At 50.7% G+C, this 19,511-nt stretch overlaps 1 protein-coding gene across 2 annotated transcripts; it reads left to right on the top strand.

The window, feature by feature from the left end:
• Positions 1,308-19,127, top strand: TPRX1 (tetrapeptide repeat homeobox 1). Of its 2 annotated transcripts, NM_198479.3 has the most exons (4): positions 1,308-1,387; positions 1,821-1,891; positions 16,686-16,855; positions 17,379-19,127. In NM_198479.3, the coding sequence occupies exons 1-4, from the start codon at positions 1,308-1,310 to the stop codon at positions 18,582-18,584; spliced, it is 1,527 nt and encodes a 508-aa protein (NP_940881.3). In that variant the 3' UTR covers positions 18,585-19,127. The 2 variants fall into 2 exon arrangements, with proteins under 2 accessions (NP_940881.3, NP_001384275.1); NM_001397346.1 differs by lacking the exons at positions 1,308-1,387; positions 1,821-1,891 and adding an exon at positions 15,808-15,844.
• The last annotated feature ends 384 nt before the right edge of the window (positions 19,128-19,511 follow it).

Here is a 19,511-nt window from a genome sequence, read left to right as displayed (position 1 = left end):
CCTCAGCCTCCCGAGTAGCTGGGAGGATTTCCTTTCATTTCTGTCCTTCTCCCTGTCTTGGTACCTCTGTTGCTCTGTATTTCTGATTTTCCTGGTCTCTGGCCCTCTTTGTGTCTCTCTCCTCTCGTCTGTCTCTCTAGATATTAATATGTCCCTGAGCTCCTGGGTCCCACACGGGTCTGTTTCACTTCCCCGTGCACCCAAACACGCACGCAAGCACACACACACACACACACACACACGCCCGGTAATCCCTCCTTGTGGCTGGGTCATTGTGTCTCAGCCATAAGGGGCCCTTTCTTTCTCCTCCTCCCTCCCCCAAACCCCCTGCTAGGAGAGATTAAGGCTACAGGCCTGGCTGAGGAATCAGGACAGGTCTCATTAGCTTGAAGAGCCAGGGATGACAGCAAGAGAGGGAGGGGCCGTCTGACCCTCGGCGACCAGTCCAGAGGCTCCTGATGGGAGAATCCAGTCCTGGAACAGACCCCCTGGCCCTGCAGCAGGGAAGGAAGGTCAGCTGTACAGGGAGAGGGAGGAGAAAATAACTTCCAGCGGGACAGAGAAGGTGTCAGCAACTCTTAAATCACCTGCCCTGGGGAATCTGGGTACTGGTTGGCTCCTGGATCCAGAGTCCTTCCAGGGGTGGGGGTACAGAGAGGTGGGTTTCAGCTGGTCCTGCACATGGCCCTGGGATCAAGTAAGCTGAAATCAAATCCAAGCACTTCTTCTCTGAGCTAGGTCTTCTGAGGCAACTTGCTTTCCTTCTCATCTCCACCCAGTGGCTCAGGCAGAAATCTGGGCACTCAGCCTGGCCCCTAACCCCTTTCTCCTCACCACTTACATCCAATCCATCCATAAGTCCTGTCATCTCTTCTATCAGATCATTATCCTACTGAAACAATATAAAGCACTGCTGGAAGAAATTAAAGGAGACTCAAGTCAATAGTGAACTATACCATGTTCATGGTTTAGAAGACTCAATGTTATTAAGAGGTCAATTCTTCTCAAACTAATCTTTAGATTTACTGCAATCCCAATCAGAATCTCATCAGGATTTTTCTGTAGAAATTGATTGTCAAACTGATTCTGAAGTTGCTATGGAATATAAATGATCTAGAATAATCAAAGCAGTCTTGGAAAAATAAAACGAGTTGGAGAACTTACGCTACCTGACTTTGAGACTTATTGTAATGCACATGATTGCAGCTGGAAAAAGTGGGGTTAAGGATTAAGAAAATGTGGCACATATACACCATGGAATACTATGCAGCCATAAAAAAGGATGAGTTCATGTCCTATGCAGGGACATGGATGAAGCTGGAAACCATCATTCTGAGCAAACTATCACAAGGACAGAAAACCAAACACCGCATGCTCTCGCTCATAGGTGAGAATTGAACAATGAGAACACTTGGACACAGGGTGGGGAACATCACACACAGGGGCCTGTTGTGGGGTGGGGGGCAGGGGGAGGAATAGCATTAGGAGAAATACCTAATGTAAATGATGAGTTAATGGGTGCAGCAAACCAACATGGCACATGTATCCATATGTAACAAACCTGCACGTTGTGCACATGTACCCTAGAACTTAAAGTATAATAAACAAAAAAAGTGGGGTTAAATTCTGGGGACAGTCTGAAGATGTATGGAATACTGGAGGATCCTTGGATCAGGTTGTTGATGAGTTTCACTCCAGGCTCTACTGCAGGATGGGGGTGCTCCTCATACCTGCACCCCCTTAGCTCCCTAACACATTCATCCTATTTAATCTTTTGCAAAACTCTTACTGACATCTTGTTTCTTGTCTGCCCTTGTCAGGAGGATGGGGCCCTGTCTGTCTTGTTCTCAGCTGTATTCCCAGTACCTAGGACTGTCCCAGACACACAGCAGTAAGTGTGTGTTCAATAAATGTGAAAGAAATGGATGGATGGATGGACGGAGGGATGGATGGATGGATGGATGGATGGAGGGATGGATGGGTGATGGATGATGGATGGATGGATGGATGGATGGATGATGGATGGATGGATGGATGGATGGATGGGTGATGGATGGGTGGATGGATGGATGGATGGGTGATGGATGGATGGATGGATGGATGGATGGATGGGTGATGGATGGGTGGATGGATGGATGGATGGATGGGTGATGGATGGATGGATGGATGGATGGTGGGGCAGAACCAGGTAGAGACACTGGCACAGAGAAGTGGTGTGATGTTTTCCCAAAAGGACCAAGGGTCTGTGATTGCAGCACTGTGAGGTCAGACTGTGGGGCTGCCCACTAGTGTTTGAATCTCTGGATGCTTCAGGGATCATATTGTTCCTGAGTTAATTCATTCAGGCTCTAACTGTGCCATGAATCCCTGCTTCTACCAGGTCCCATGCCTGGTAGTGGGTGCATCCACTCAGCTCCTTGTCCTCACTGGACAGAGGAGCCTACGGATGCGGCAGAGAGAGGCTGGCAGGGCCAACAAGGGAGGGCCCTGAACATGGCTGAGTCGGGAGGGTCTTGCCAAGAGCTGGCATGGAGCCACATGAGTTTGGGTTTAAATCCTGTTGTTTTCTCACTGCGTGGCCTTGGGCCCTTCATATGGGCTCCTGGGCCTCAGTTTCCTCCTCTGCAAAGTGGATACAGTGACAAGCTGTCACAATGAGCCCTGGGAATCCCATGGGAGCAGGGGAGGAAGCTGACCTCATCCATCTTCTAGGAATCCCAGGCAGACTCGGGGGTGAAGAGCGGGGCTCGGGGGCCAAAGAGATTTAAATTCTACCCCTGGTTCTTCCACTCATCACCTGTGTGACCTCGGAAATTGACGAAACCTCTCTCAGCCTCAGTTTCCTCCTCTGAGAAAGGGACCTCTGAGCTCCGTGGGGCTGTGGCGAGCATCCTAAGAGGCCATATCACCTGGTGATCAGGAGGGCACAGGCTCCGGGGCAGGTGCTGGCCCAGCTCTGGCTCTGCCGCTGACGTGGGAGACAGAACTGGAGACTACACTTCTCTCAGCCTCAGTTTCCTCCTCTGTAAAGTGGGGATGATACCAGAAGCCGCCTGGGAGGAAGTTTCCATGGAGTTATTGTTCCCTGAGATCTTGTTCCCAAGGTCTGTGGTTCATGCAGTGTGTGAGAAGCTGGGACCTGTGGGCACCTCCCTCCTTCCCAGGCTCAGTCTCCCTGCCTGTAGAATGGAGTTATCTGTGTGTCTGCACCACAAGGTGGCTGTGAGCATTCAGGCCTTACCTGTGAGAACAACTGCTCAGGTGGGAACCTGGGACCCAGTGGGTGCCGAACTCCACAGCTCTGAGAACTAGCCTTGGGCCTCCCAGGCTGATCCCCAGGGCAAGGACACTGATCTCCCTTGTTCCACCATTTGAGATCATAAAACATCAATGCCTGATATTCAACCAGGTTGCAGAAGACTTATACAGGCATTTCAAAAGTGAGAATAGCAAATAATCCACCAGTGTATAAAACTGGGCTCACATTCATTGATCATCAGGGAAATGCAAAAGAAAAGCTCACAGTGGGCTGGGCGTGGTGGCTCACGCCTGTAATCCCAGCACTTTGGGAGGCCAAGGCGGGCAGATCACGAGGTCAGGAGATCGAGACCATCCTGGCTAACATGGTGAAACCCCATCTCTACTAAAAAATACAAAAAATAGCCGGGCGTGGTGGCGGGCGCCTGTAGTCCCAGCTACTCGGGAGGCTGAGGTAGGAGAATGGCATGAACCTGGGAGGCGTTGCTTGCAGTGAGCCGAGATTGTGCCACCGCACTCCAGCCTGGGCGACGGCGTGAGACTCCATCTCAAAAAAAAAAAAAAAAAAAAATTCCCAGGGGTTTGGGAGGCCAAGGCAGGAGGATCATTTGAGGCTATGGATTAGAGACTGAGGCCAGCCTGGGCAACATAGTGAGACCCTATCTCTACAAAATAAAATATATTAGGAGGGGAAGGAGGCCAAAAAAATATAATTTTAAAAAATTAAAAAGAAGGCCAGGCACAGTGGTTCACACCTGTAATCCCAGCACTTTGGGAAGCCAAGGTGGGAGGATCGCTTGAGCTCAGGAGTTCAAGACCAGCCTGGCCCACATGGCAAAACCCCGTCTCTACTAAAAATACAAAAAATTAGCTGTATGGTGGTGTGCGCCTATAATCCCAGCTACTCAGGAGGCTGAGGCATGAGAATTGCTTGAACCCGCGAGGCGGAGGATGCAGTGAGCCGAGACTCACCACACCACTGCATGCCAGCCTGGGCAACAGAGCAAGATCCTGTCTCAAAAATATATATATAAATATAAATAAATAAACAGAAAAACAATATTTGGGTCAGCCGTGTTTGCCTCTCAAAACCGTGCCCTCAACTACCCCGCTACACATGACCCAGAGTCTAAATAAGACTTGTCCCAAGTCCCAAAGAAACACTCCAGGGTCCTCTCCAGCTCTTGAAATTTAAAGTAACCGAAGGCTCAAAGAGCTTTTGTTGATATTGACTATATATCTATTGCTACTTACTGTATTGGAAATTATTTCTTTTACATTTTTTTTTTGAGACAGGGTCTTGCTCTGTTGCCCAGGCTGAAGTGCAGTGACGTGATCTCGGCTGACTGAAGCCTCAACCTCCTGGGCTCAAATGATCCTCTCGTCTCAGCCTCCTGAGTAGCTGGAACTACAGGTGCACACCACCACACCTGCTTTTTTTTTTTTTTTTTTTTGTAGAGACGGGGGTCTCATTATGTTGCCCAGGCTGGTCTCAACCTCCTGATCTCAAGTGATCCTCCTGCCTGGGCCTCCCAAAGTGCTGGGATTACAGGCATGAGCCACTGGGCCTGGCATGAAGTAGAAATTAAAAGCGTGGAATTTTAAAAACACTTTTGAAGATTTTGAATTTTACTTAAAGTATTCTTTGAGCCAGGTGCGGTGGCTCATGCCTGTAATCCCAGCACTTTGGGAGGCCAAGGTGGGTGGATCACGAGGTCAGGAGTTCGAGACCAGCCTGACCAACATGGTAAAAACCCATCTCTACTAAAACTACAAAACTTAGCCGGGCATGGTGTTGCACGCCTGTAATCCCAACTACTCAGGAGGCTGAGGCAGGACAATCGCTTGAACCCGGGAGGCGGAGGTTGCAGTGAGCCGAACTCACACCACTGCACTCCAGCCTAGGCAACATAGCAAGACTGTCTCAAAAAAAAAAAATATATATATATATATTTGCATATATATATATATATATATATATATATAATTTATCTATTTATTGAGCTAAGCACAATGACTCACACCTGTAATCCCAGCACTTTGGGAGGCCAAGACGGGCAGATCACTTGTGGTCAGGAGTTCAAGGCCAGCCTGGCCAACATAGTGAAACTCCCTCTCTGCTAAAAATACAAAATTAGCCAGGCATGGTGGCACATGCCTGTAATCCCAGCTACTTGGGAGGCTGAGGCAGGAGAATTGCTTGAGTCCAGGAGGCAGAGGTTGCAGTGAGCCAAGATCACACCATTGCACTCCAGCCTGGGCGACAAGAGCGAAACTCAGTCTCAGAAAAAACAAAAATGTATTTTTAATTCTGTATCAAATTCTTTTTCATGTTTTACTTGGACAGCTCCAAAATGCAAGATGCTTCACATCAGAGGTAGACCCCAGGACTCTGCAAAGATTCCTTGCAGTTCAGACCCTTCCAAAACATTCCCAGCTCAGGAAACCTCAGGTCATCTCTGAGGTCGTTGATCAGACACCTCCAGACCCCCATGCTTGCACTCCCCTTCCCACTCTCCAGGCCCCCATTATCCCTAAAGGAACAGAGAGGGGAGAGTGAGTAGAAAGTCAGGGTAGAGGTTAATGATAAACTTTATTCTTATTTTTTAAGACAGGGTCTCGCTATGTTGCCTAGGCTGGTCTCAAGCTCCTGGGCTCAAATGATCCTCCTGCTTTAGCTTCCCAAAGTGCTGGGATTACAGGCGTGAGCCACAGCGCATAATAAACCTTAAAAATCAACAATGTTGACTGGGCACTGTGGCTCACACCTGTAATCCCAACACTTTGGGAGGTCGAGGTGAACAGATCACTTAAGTTCAGGAGTTCGAGACCAGCCTGGCCAACACGGTGAAACCCCGCCTCTACTGAAATACGAAAATATGCTCTGCGTAGTGGTGGGTGCCTGTATTCCCAGCTATTGGGAGGCTGAGACAGGAGAATCCTTTGAACCCAGGAGGCAGAGGTTTCAGTCAGCCGAGATCACACCACTGCACTCCAGCCTGGCTGACAGAGCAGGACTCTGTCTCAAAAAAAAAAAAAATCAGCAATGTTGGCACCCTTCTAACCCCTTAAATGTGGTTCCCTAAACAGCCAGGGAATATGCCTGTATCCACTCCCTGCCTCTCCCCACCCCACCCCCACCCCGCCCCCACCACGCCCTTCTCTGTCCCCTCTGTCTTCTGGTCTCCCTCGTCCTCTGCCGCCCCCTGGTGGCCGTCCTGGCACCTGGGTCTCCCCAGCGACGCCTCTCTCACCCTGTCCTAGTCCCATTTAGCAAATGTTCCAATCCTCTTAGGCCAGGCCAGGCCAGCCTCAGCAGAGCAGAATTAGATCCGATTTGGGGGTTGGGGGACAGACTGCCAGGATATAATGAAAACTCCTTCTGCTTGTCAGACCCTGGAAGGGGGTAGACACAAAGCAACTCACACACTGGGACCCCACAAGGGACAACGAGGAGGGGAAACTGAGGAACAGAGAAAGGGGGAGACAGAGGGGCAGGGTGGGGGAATGCCAAGGGGCAGAGAGGGCACCTGGAGGCTGAGAGATCTTGCTCCCCGCGCCTGGAAAGTGTCTTCCCAGCTTGACTCTCGCCGCCACGGTCACCGGAGTGCCTAGTGCCTCCACCTGCAATTCTGGAACAACTCCCCTCTCTACAAGGACCCGATTCCCTCATCCAGAGTTACTTATTAATTCTTGGCATGTGGCTTTTTGTTTTTTGTGTGTTTTGGGGGGGTCGTGGGCTTTTGGGGAGTTTTGTTTGTTGTTTGTTTGTTGAGACAGGGTCTCACCCTGTTGCCCAGGCTGGAGTGCAGGTCGGGGAATCACTGCTCATTGCAGCCTCAACCTCCCAGACTCCAGCGATCCTCCCACCTCAGCCTCCCAAGTAGCTGGGACTACAGGAGCACGCCACTCCGCCTGGCTAATTTTGGCGGGGTGGGGGGGGTTGTTTTATTTATTATTATTTATTTATTTATTTATTTATTTATTTATTTTTGAGACACAGTCTCACTCTGTCGCCCAGGCTGGAGTGCAGTGGTGTGAGCTCATCTCACTGTAACCTCCACCTCCTGGGTTCAAGCGATTCTCCTGCTTCAACCTCCTGAGTAGCTAGGATTACAGGCGCGTGCCACCATACCTGGCTAATTTTTTGTATTTTTAGTACAGACGGGGTTTCACCATGTTGGCCAGACTGGTCTTGAACTCCTGACCTCAAGTGATCCACCCGCCTCGGCCTCCCAAAGCGCTAGGATTACAGGCGTGAGCCACCAGGCCCAGGCTTTTTTTGTTTAGTTTTTGGTTTTGGGGGGTTTTTTTGAGATGGAGTCTCACTCTGTGGCCCAGGATGAAGTGCAGTGTTTCTCACTTAACCTTTGCTTTATTCTGTTTCTCTCTTTTAATTTCTGTCTCAGTGTGATCTTGGCTCACTGCAATCTCCCCTCCTGGGTTCAAGCGATTCTCCTGCCTCAGCCTCCCAAGTAGCTGGGACTACAGGCACACACCACCATGCCCGACTAATTTTTTGTACTTTTAGTAGAGACAGAGTTTCACCATATTGGCCAGGCCGGTCTCGAACCCCTCACCTCAATTGATCCTCCTGACTCGGCCTCCCAAAGTGCTGGGATTACAGGCATGAGCCACCATGGTTGGCCATTTCTTTATATTTTTTAAGAGAGACAAGATCTCGCTATGTTGCCCAGGCTGGTCTCGAACTCCTGGCCTCAAGCAATCCACCCACCTCAGCCTCCCAAGGTGCTGGGATTACAGGCATGAGCCATAGCGCCCAGCCTATTCTGTGATTCTTTGAGTAACGCCTGCCTTCCCCCACTTGAACAACGAGTTCCCTGAGAACAAGGACTGCACCCGTTAACTCTCTGGAGGTGCCTAGATCAGTCCCTTGAATGTACTGAGCACTTAATAAATACAGACAGTTCTCAGGCCGGGCACGGGTGGCTCACTCCTGTAATCCCAGCACATTGGGAGGCCGAGGTGGGCGGATCACCTGAGGTCAGGAGTTCAAGACCAGCCTGACCAACATGGAGAAACTCCATCTCTACTAAAAATACAAAATTAGCCGGGCGTGGTGGCAGGTGCCTGTAATCCCAGCTACTTGGGAGGCTGAGGCAGGAGAATTGCTTGAGCCCAGGAGGCAGAGGTTGCAGGGAGCTGAGATTGCACCATTGCACTCCAGCCTGGGCAACAAGAGCGAAACTCCGTCTCAAAAAATATATATAAAAGAAATTAAAAATAAATAAATACAGGCAGTTCTCCTCATTCTTACTTGTTATGTTCTGTGAAGTTGCCATTAGCCGGGCGCGGTGGCTCACGCCTGTAATCCCAGCACTTTGGGAGGCTGAGGTGGGCGGATCACGAGGTCAGAAGTTCGAGACCAGCCTGGCCAATATGGTGAAACCCCATCTCTACTATAAATACAAAAATTAGCTGGGCGTGGTGGCGCATGACTGTAGTCCCAGCTACTCAGGAGGCTGAGGCAGGAGAATCGCTTGAATCCGGGAGGCGGAGGTTGCAGTGAGCCGAGATCGCGCCACTGTACTCTAGCCGGGGCAACAGAGTGAGACGCTGTCTCAAAAAAAAAAAAAAAAAAAAGTTGCCATGAACATGGTCTCAGCCAATAAGGAACCCCTGCTCCCAGGGGAAATACAGATTTGGGGTCCCACAAGGCTCTGCTCACACTATTGTCATCAATCGATCAATACCTCACCCTGGTTCATGCGTGTTTCGGTTTAAAGACACCTTATTGAATATATGTTGTTGATTCATTCAAATTAAACTCAGGGCCGGCCAGGTGCGGTGGCTCACACCTGTAATTTTAGCACTGTGGGAGGCTGAGGAGGGCTGACCACCTGAGGTCAGGAGTTTGAGACCATCCTGGCCAACATGGTGAAACCCTGTCTCTACTAAAAATACAAAAATTAGCCAAGCATGGTGGCGGGCGCCTGTAATCCCAGCTACTCTGGAGGCTGAGGAAGGAGAATCCCTTGAACCCGGGAGGCAGAAGTTGCAGTGACCTGAGATCACTCCACTGCGGTCCAGCCTGGGTGACAGAGAGAGATCCTGTCTCAAAAAATAAAATTAAAAAAAAAAAAAAACAGAGAGCAAGGACAGTGTTTCAAGAATGAATGTCCAGACACCGAGAGGAACCCCAATGTCAGAAAGACATTGAACAACAAGATTCTAGAAAGCAAAGGCCAACCTCATGCCTTTGTCACCCCCACTCTGATCTGCCCCAATATTGTCTTCAAAGCCCAAACAACTCCTTGTTGCCCATGTGCCCCTCCTGAACCCCCTCCCCCTGCACCAAGAGATACCCTCACAATGCAGAGGATGGGGAGGTGTCTGTGGGCCTCTTGGGGGCAGGAGCAAAGATGAGTCAACCCCACCAAGAGGTCAACCCCATCAGAGCCCACAGGCATAGGGTAAAAGAGGAGATTGAAGAATTGATGGAAGGCTGGACGCGCCTGTAATCCCAGCACTTTGGGAGGCTGAGGCGGGCAGACCACAGGGTCAGGAGTTCAAGACCAGTCTGGCCAATATGGTGAAATGCTGTCTCTACTGAAAATACAAAAATTAGCCGGGCGTGGTGGTGGGCGCCTGTAATCCCAGCTACTCAGGAGGCTGAGGCAGGAGAAGGGTTTGAACCTGAGAGGCAGAGGTTGCAGTGAGCCAAGATCCGGCCACTGCACTCCAGCCTGGGCGACAGAGCGAGACTCTGTCTCAAAAAAAAAAAAAAAAAAAAAATTGATGGATAAGGAGAGAGCCATTGTTTCTGTTTCTGTTCTGAAGGAATCAAATAAGAATAGATTTTTTTTTTTTTTTTTTTTTTTTTTTGAGATGGAGTCTCACTCTGTCGCCGGGGCTGGAGTGCAGTGGCACAATCTCAGCTCACGGCAACCTCTGCCTCAGGGGTTCAAGTGATTCTCCTAACTCAGCCTCCCAAGTAGCTGGGATTACAGGCGCCCTCCACCACACCCAGCTCATTTTTGTATTTCTAGTAGAGACAGGGTTTCGCCATGTTGGCCAGGCTGATCTTGAACTCCTGACCTCAGGTGATCCGCCCACCTCGGCCTCCCAAAGTGCTGGGATTACAGGTGTGAGTCATTGCGTCTGGCCAAGAATGGATTTCATAATCCCTTCTTCACACTTTTCCACCGACTTCATTCCCACTTACATCACTCTTGCCCCAGGCTTCAGAAGACCTCCCTCCATCCACCTGACTCTAGGAATTTGGCCATTGCCTGGGGAGCCCCAGGAGGAATCTCCAGAAATTCCATCCAACCCTGAAGACACATCAGGACGAGAAAAGGCATGGGGACTTCTGTGGGCAGGGTGTTGACGAGTCCTAGGGTGGCATTCAAGGCCAGAAATGCTTCTTGTTTTCCAGGTTGTCCATTAAAAAATAATAATTATAAACAGCAGGAAATAGAGAAAATAGACATTCCGCGTCATCTCTGGGTAATTACTTTTGCAGGAGTTTTTATCTTTGTTGTTATTTATTGTTCATTCAAATATATTGTGCTCACACCCGTAATCTCAGCACTTTGGGAGGCCAACATGGATGGATCACTTGAGGTCAGGAGTTAGAGGTCAGCCTGGGTAACATGGCAAAACCCCGTCTCTACAAAAAATACAAAAATTAGCCAGATGTGGTGGCACATGCGCCTGTCCTCTCAGCTACTTGGGAGGCTGAGGTGGGAGAATGGCTTGAGCCAAGGAGGGAGAGGTTGCAGTGAGCCGAGATCATGACAGTGCAACGCAGCCTGGGTGATAGAGAGAGACCCTGTCTCCAAAAAAAAAGGAAAGAAAAAGAAAAGAAAAAAGAATATGTATATGTATAATATATATTTTTTGTATGTGCTTATTAAATGTGTACATTCTTCAAAATAAACAATGTGCCTGAGACAGCATTTGATATGGAAAACACAAACTCAATCATTTAGTACATTATTACTCAGCACCTTTGAGCTTTTCCTATTACAGACATGGGGATTTGGGAGGGAAAAAAAAGCCCAACAAAGTCTCTGTGTTCAAGACACATTTATTTCAGCAAACAGCAAGCAGACATCCACCAGGCAAACAAAACAACAAATACATTAAAGATCATCATTTCTTACTAATTGGTTACCACTTCATCCCTTTCTTAAACTTTCATTAGCATTCCATAGTCTGAGGCTGCCACAAATTAATCATCTTCTAATTTGTGGGCGTGAATTAATCCAATTAACTCAGTTGATATTTCAAAGAAATGTTACACTGAACACTGATATCTGCGCTTATTCACAGCGGAGCAAGTATTTTCCCAGGATAAGTCTCTTACAATAAAACATTGAGGCCAGGCACGGTGGCTCACACCTGTAATCCCAGCATTTTGGGAGGCCAAGGTGCGCGGATCACTTGAGGTCAGGAGTTCAAGACCAGCCTGGCCAACATGGTGAAACCCCATCTCTACTAAAAATAAAATAAAAATTAAATAAAAATTTAAAAATTAGCCAGATGTGGTGGCAGGCGCCTGTAGTCCCAGCTACTCGGAAGGCAGGAGAATCACTTGAACCCAGGAGGCAGAGGTTGCAGTGAGCCGATATCTGCATTAAAGTGCAGAGCCACTGCACTTTAGTCTGGGTGACAGATCGAGACTCGGTCTCAATAAATAAATAAATAAAATAAGAAAATTGGCCAGGCATGGTGGCTCACACCTGTAATCCCAGAACTTTGGGAGGCTGAGGCGGGTGGATCACCTGAGGTCAGGAGTTCAAGACCAGCCTGGACAACACAGTGAAACCCCGTCTCTACTAAAAATACAAAAATTAGCCAGACATCATGGTGGGTGCCTGTAATCCCAGCTACTCAGGAGGCTGAGGCAGGAGAATTGCTTGAACCTGGGAGGCGGAGGTTGCAGTGAGCTGAGATCGCGCCATTGCACTCCAGCCTGGGCAAGAAGAGTGAAATTCCATCTCAAAACAAATAAAGAAAATAAAATAAAATAAGAAAATTACCCGGACATGGTGGTACTTGCCTGTAGTCCCACCTACTCAGGAGGCTGAGGTTGCAGGATCGCTTAAACCCCAGAGTTCGAGGTTGCAGTGAGTTTCGATTGACTCCACTGCACTCCAATCTGGGCAACAGAGCAAGACCCTGTCTCAAAAAAAATCATTGAGTCAAAGGGTACTATACACATTTCATCCTTTAATAGATGTCACAGAGTCAATTTCAAAAAAAAACCTCCAAAAATATTTTACCAACCTACACTTCATCAATGGCAAGAGAAAACCACATTCTCTGGGTCTACACTTGATCCATCTCTTTGATCTTGGCCAATCCACAGGGCAATATGCTGAGTTTTGCATTAATTTATATTTTTTATTGATATGTCATCCACGTAATATAAAAGTACCCACTTAAAGTATACAATTCAGGGCTGGGTGCCATGGTTCATGCCTGTAATCCCAGCACTTTGAGAAGCTAAGGAGAGCGAATTACTTGAGGCCAGGAGTTCGAGACTAGCCTGGCTAACATGGTGAAACCCCATCTCTACTAAAAATAGAAAAAATTTTTTACTGGGTGTGGTAACACACACCTGTAATCCCAGCTACTCAGGAGGCTGAGGCATGAGAATCACTTGAACCCAGGAGGCAGAGCTGAGATCAATCCACTGCACTGCAGCCTGGGCAACAGAGACTCTGTCTCAAAACAAATACATAAATAAATTTAATTAAATAAAGTATACAATTCAGGCCGGGCACGCTGGTTCACGCCTGTAATATCAGTACTTTGGGAGGCAAGGTGGGCTGGTTGTTTAAACTCAGGAGTTCGAGACGAGACTGGGCAACACGGCAAAACAAAAAGAAAAGAATAATCATAAAGTACAAAATGAAATGGTTTTGGCCGGGCGCGGTGTTTCACACCTGTAATCCCAGCACTTTGGGAGGCCGAGATGGGTGGATCACTTGAGGTCAGGCATTCGAGGCCAGCCTGGCCAACATGGTGAAACCCATTCTCTACTAAAAATACAAAAAGTTAGCTGGGCGTGGTGGTGCATGCCTGTAATCCCAGCTACTTGGGCGACTGAGGCAGGAGTATCACTTGAACCCGGGAGATGGAGGTTGCAGCAAGCCGAGATCACACCACTACTGCACTCCAGCCTGGGTGACAGGGCAAGACGCCATCTCAAAAAAAAAAAATTAAATCGTCTTTAGTCTGTTTGCAGAGTTGTGCCTCCTTCACTACAGTCAATTTTAGAACATTTTTCACCGTCCCCAATAGCTATCTCCATAGCTATTCCCAGTTGGTCCCAATTTTCCCTTCTCCCCAACCCGTAGCAACCACTAATCTGCTTTCTGTCTCTATGGATTTGCCTATTCTGGACACTTTGTATAAATAGAATCGTATATGTGCTTTTGAGTCTGGCGTCTTTCACTCGGCATCATGTTGGCAAGGTTCATCCATGTTGTAGCACGTATCAGAGCTTTATTCCTTTTCATGGTTGAGTAATATCCCATTGTGTAAATATATGACATTTTGGGTTTCTATTTTTTGTGGGTTTTTTTGGGGGATGTTGTTTTGTTTTTTGAGGCAGAGTCTCCCTCTGTCACCCAGGCTGGAGTTCAGTGGCACCATCTCAGCTCCCTGCAACCTCTGCCTCCCGGGTTCAAGTGATTCTCCTACCTCAGCCTAACAAGTAGCTGGGATTACAGGCTCCCGCCACCATGCTTGGCTAATTTTTTGTATTTTTAGTAGAGACGGATTTTCACCATGTCGACCAAGCTGGCCTCAAACTCCTGACCTCAAGTGATTCGTCCACCTCAGCCTCCCAAAGTGCTGGGATTACAGGCGTGAGCCACCGTGCCCAGCCACTTTTATTTATTTTGAGATGGAGTCTCACTCTGTTGCCCAGGCTGGAGTACAGTGGCACAATCTCCACTCCCTGTAGCCTCCGCCTCCCGGGTTCAACCAATTCCCCCGCCTCAGCCTCCCAAGTAGCTGAAATTCAGGTGCTGGCCACCACGCCCAGCTAATTTTTGTATTTTTAGTAGACAGGGTTTCGCCATGTTGGCCAGGCTGGTCTTAAACTCCTGACCTCAGGTGATCTGCCTGCCTCAGCCTCCCAAAGTGCTGGGATTACAGGCGTGAGCCACCGCGCCTGGCCATGCAGCATTTTATTTATCCATGCATCAGTGGATCGATGTTTTCAGCATTTTCTCCTTTTGGGCGATAGTGAATCATGCTGCCGTGAACTTGCTTATATTTAAATGTCTATTTTCACAAAATAGTACCAGTGAGCTTGTTCATCTGTTTATGTCTTTATTGACCAAATAAATAGCCATGGTGCAAAATCTCTGTGGTCACTACTGTGTTCCCAGCATGTCCTGTAGATGAAGCCGGACAATGTGTGCGATGAGGAATCATTGCTGGGGATGCTGCTTTCTACAGCAGAACTCTAAGTAGCAGGTGAAAACAATGAGCGAGGCCCGTGGTAACAATGTCTACGTTTTATTGAATTTTGAAATTGATTGCATGAGTCATTTCTAGTTCCCTGCACCATGAGCCTTGTCAATCTCTCTAATCCCTGAACCCACGTGGGTCCTGCCATGGGGAAATGAGGACAGCCAGGTGTCTGACAGAGAAGACGCATCTCTGAGGGATCCGATCTCTGTAGACCAAGGTCATGGGTCCCCTGTATCATCAGCAGTAGGTTCATTCACTCACAAGGGCAGACCAGCAGCGGTCCATGGGCACGTCCATCAGACCTGTGCCCCCTCCTGATACAGGTCTATGCAGCTTGGAGAGGCTGGGCTCATGTGAACCCAGCACACGAGCCCCGTATATAAACTGGAATAAACCAGCACTGAGGTCATTTACTCTCCAGGAGAAACCAACAGAGGTCTATGTGAATGCCTATCAGAACTTCACCCCATAGGCAAATCCACTACAGAAACCAAACCATTATCAGCAGGGCCAATGTGTACTAAGCTCTGCTTACACCTATAGGCACCTAGGGAGCAATTTTTGGAATGGATAGTAGGGGCCAGAGTGGCCTTGAGGTACCAAAGAGGAGGTTGCAAGGTCATCCAGGAAGGAGGGATAGTGGCTGGACAAGGCAGGCAGCCCAGGAGCCAGGAGGAGTGGGTAGACTCACCGGCATTGGTCACTCGGGGCCCCAGCCCTGGGAAGGAACAAGGATGACTCCTGGGGGCTGGCTGGCGGTGCCTCTCCTGAGATGGGGACCCCAACCACAGGTCACGATGTTGACTCCCCCAACCAAACCCGCATGGAATGCCACCTCACCTGGGCTAGGGCCCATGAGGGTGAAACCAAGGCTGTGTTGTCCACTGAGGTTCTCCAGCTCCTAGCACAGCTCAGCAGGCAGTACCTGATCAGTGATGAAGGATTAATCCATCATTCAACTCCTCCAGGGGGCGGGACTGCAGGGCAGGGTGGGAAAGGGAGGGTCCCGGCAGGGTGGGCCAGGGTGGGCACAGCAGAGAAGTGATTTAAGAGCCAAGCCCTTGTCAGTACACACTTGTGTTTGGGAACAGATCAGGACTCAGGATGCAAGACCCTGGTCATCTCCAAGGTGAGCGGGGACAGAGGTGTGAGGGGTCTGGGCTGATCCTGTGGCTGAGGCTGCAGAGTGCAAATCTGGGCAGCCAGAGAAGGGCTGGGCCTGTGCGGGCGGCTTCCTGTCCTGCAGACGGGGGAGAACTTAGTGGTGTCTGGGAAATGAAAAATCATGCAGCTGGGTGTAGCGTCTCACGCCTGTGATCCCAGCTCTTTGGGAAGCCAAGGTGGGAGGATCACTTGAGCCCGGGACTCTGAAACCAGCCGAGCCAACATAGTGGAGACCCGTCTTTAGCAAAAATACAAAAATTACCCAGGGGTCGTGGTGCACACCTGTGGTCCCAGCTACTCGGGAGACTAAGGCGGGGGGTTCCTTGAGCCCAGGAAGTGGAGGCTGACTTGAGCCGTGATCACATCACTGCACTCCAGCCTGGGTGACAGAGCGAGATCCCCTCCAAGAAAAAGAAAGAAGGAAAGAAATTAAACCATGCAGTTGAGTGGAGCAGAGGACTGGGCAGGTGGCGGCTCCCCTGCAAGTGTCAGGGTCCCTATAACCCTTGGATGGGAGGGGACGGGGCAGCTGGGGAGGGTTGAGCAGGCCTGAGGCAGCCCCGTCTGCTCCGAGGTGAGGCGCCTACGCTGCCTGCCTTCCCAGGAGCTGTTATCGCGCCTATTTCCTAGATGTGGACCCTGAGGCCCAGAGAGGTGCAAGGTCTGGTCTGGATACCAGGCTGCTATCCGCGGTGCCGCCCCAGCCCACACTGCCTGGGCTCCTGGCCTGGTGCAGGGGACGGGGTCCCTAGGGGGGCTGGGGGCTGCCTGGGGGTTTCTGTGACCTGTTTCCCTCCCACCCCCAGGCCCTCCCCTGGCCCTGGACCCTCCAAGGAGACAGCGGCAGGAGCGCACGGTCTACACTGAAAGCCAGCAGAAAGTGCTAGAATTTTACTTTCAGAAGGACCAGTACCCGAACTACGACCAGCGACTGAATCTGGCGGAGATGCTCAGCCTCAGGGAGCAACAGCTGCAGGTCTGACCCCCACCCCCACCCTGCCCGCCCCAGTCACCCCAAGGAGCCTCCCCACCGCTGTCACTCACCGGGGCCTGGCCCGCCCGACCACCTCCCGCCCTGCCACGCAAGGGGTCCCGCCAGTGTAGACCAGGGCTGCATCCTGAGTCCTGTTCCAACTCTATGCTAGCCCAAACTCGCCCACATGATCGGCCCAGGCTGTCCCCCACGGGGTCTCCCGGTGCCCGGACCTCAGGCACCCGTGAGAACCCGCGGTCCCTCCCCTCGAACCCTCCCTGGCCCCCCGGGCACCTGGGCGGCAGACCCCGCTCCTCCCATCCCACCCCACCCTCCTCCCCCTACTTTTCCCTCCCTCTTCCCTCCATTCTCCAGGCCTTGGAGCCGGGGCCCTCTTTTGGTGGGGTGGGGGATGGGGGGCTGTTGAGCACAGGGAGAGGCTTCAGGCTGGCCCCGACCCCAAAAGGCTCACTGGGCCGCGCGAGCCCCTCCTTCACACCTTCTCCCTGTCCCCTCTGCCCCCCAGGTGTGGTTCAAGAATCGCCGCGCCAAACTAGCTCGGGAGCGGCGGCTCCAGCAGCAGCCCCAGCGCGTCCCTGGGCAGAGAGGCCGAGGAGCCCGCGCTGCGCCCCTAGTCCCTGCAGCCTCTGCCTCCGCACCTCAGCGGGGCCCCTCGGGAATCCTTCCAGCGGCGGAACCCACGATCTGCAGCCTCCACCAGGCCTGGGGTGGCCCTGGGTGCAGAGCCCAGAAGGGCATCCCAGCTGCCCTGAGTCCAGGCCCTGGCCCGATCCCTGCCCCAATCCCAGGCCCAGCCCAGATCCCAGGCCCACTCCCTGGCTCAATTCCAGGCCCAATTCCAGGCCCAGCTCAGATCCCAAGCCCGATCCCAGCCCCAATCCCAGGCCCAATTTCAGGCCCAGTCCAGATCCCAGGCCCATTCCGTGGCCCAATCCCAGGCCCAATTTCAGGCCCAGCCCCGATCCCAGGCCCAATCTCAGGCCCATTCTCAGGCCCAAACCCAGGCCCGATCCCAGGCCCAAACCCAGGCCCGATCCCAGGCCCAATCTCAGGCCCGATCCCAGGCCCAATCTCAGTCCCGATCCCAGGCCCGATCCCAGGCCCAATCTCAGGCCCAATCTCAGGCCCAAACCCAGGCCCGATCCCAGGCCCAATCCCAGGCCCAATCTCAGGCCCGAACCCAGGCCCGATCCCAGGCCCAATCTCAGGCCCGAACCCAGGCCTGATCCCAGGCCCAATCCCAGGCCCAATCTCAGGCCCAGGCCCAATTATAGGCCCGATTCCCAGCCCAGCCCAGATCCCAGGCCCAGGCAGACTCCAAGGCCCAGGTCCCATCTTAAGTCCTGGCCGGATGCGAAGCCCTGGCTCACTTCCAGGCCTAGCCCCGATTTTAGGCCCAGGCTCAGGCCCAGGCTCAGGCTCAGTCCCAGCTCCAATCCCAGGCCCAGGATCACTCCCAGCCCCAGCCCCCTTATGGCCTCAGAGCCCCGATGCCTCCGACTTCTTGCCAGACACCCAGTTATTCCCTCACTTCACAGAGCTGCTCCTACCCCTAGACCCCTTGGAGGGATCCTCAGTCTCCACCATGACCTCTCAGTACCAAGAAGGGGATGACTCTATGGGCAAAAAACACTCAGGGTCTCAGCCCCAAGAGGAGGGTGGCTCTGTGAATGAAAATCACTCAGGCCCCAGGTTATTACTGGATTTATAGGGGGCCTGTGCCTGCAAAGTTCTTCAGATCCCAGAGGGCCTGGAGTGGCTGATCTACACTGCTGGTGACTTTCTGCAGTGAATGCATCACCCTTTACCCACCCTGCTGCAGGTGGACATTTGCTGTCTTCACTGTGCAGCTATCACAGGTGGCTCTGCTGTGAATGTGCCTGCCTGTCATTTGAATTGAGCCTGAGCGTTTCTCTGCTGGGATTGGAGTCGCTGCTCACTGGGATATCTGGCATTAGTGGATGCTGCTCGAGAGCTTTCTAAAGGGCTTTTCCCAGGGCTTCTGATGGTCAGCATCTTCCCCAACACTTAGGATTGTGAGACTTTTTAATGTTTGTCGATCCAATGACTTGTGGTTTTGTTGTGGTTGTAATATCCATTTCCCTGATGATTGAGAAGTTAAACCCTCACATGTTAATTGAACCTTAGATATCTTCATAATGTGTATTTGTTTACCCCTTTTCCTTCATTTATTTGAATGTATTCTTATATTCTCTTGGCAATTAAAGTTCTGCAGACACCTTTCCTATTTGCATTTTGTTTCATTAGTATTTCTTGATTTTAATGTTGTCTATTTCACTGCTTTTCAAATTACCTATTGTTTTGGACCAGTTTTGTCTTGTTTTATTTTTCATTTCCATCAGTGGCAGACTGATAATGTTGTAAAACACAATGAAGTTATTAATAAAAATTAAAATGGGCCAGGCACGGTGGCTCATGCCTGTAATCCCAACACTTTGGGAGGCCAAAACAGGTGGATCACTTGAAGTTAAGAGTTTGAGACCAGCCTGGCCAACATGGTGAAACCCCATCTTCACTAAAAAAATAATAATAATACAAAAATTAGCCGGGCATGCTGGCAGGTGCCTGTAGTCCCAGCTACTTGGGAGGCTAAAGCAGGAGAATCACTTGAACCTAG

The sequence above is a fragment of the Homo sapiens genome, chromosome 19, assembly GCF_000001405.40.
Source record: "Homo sapiens chromosome 19, GRCh38.p14 Primary Assembly".
Lineage (NCBI taxonomy): Eukaryota > Metazoa > Chordata > Mammalia > Primates > Hominidae > Homo > Homo sapiens.
The sequence above is the reverse complement of the archived record's forward strand: the minus strand, read 5'-3'. Positions and strand labels throughout refer to the sequence as shown.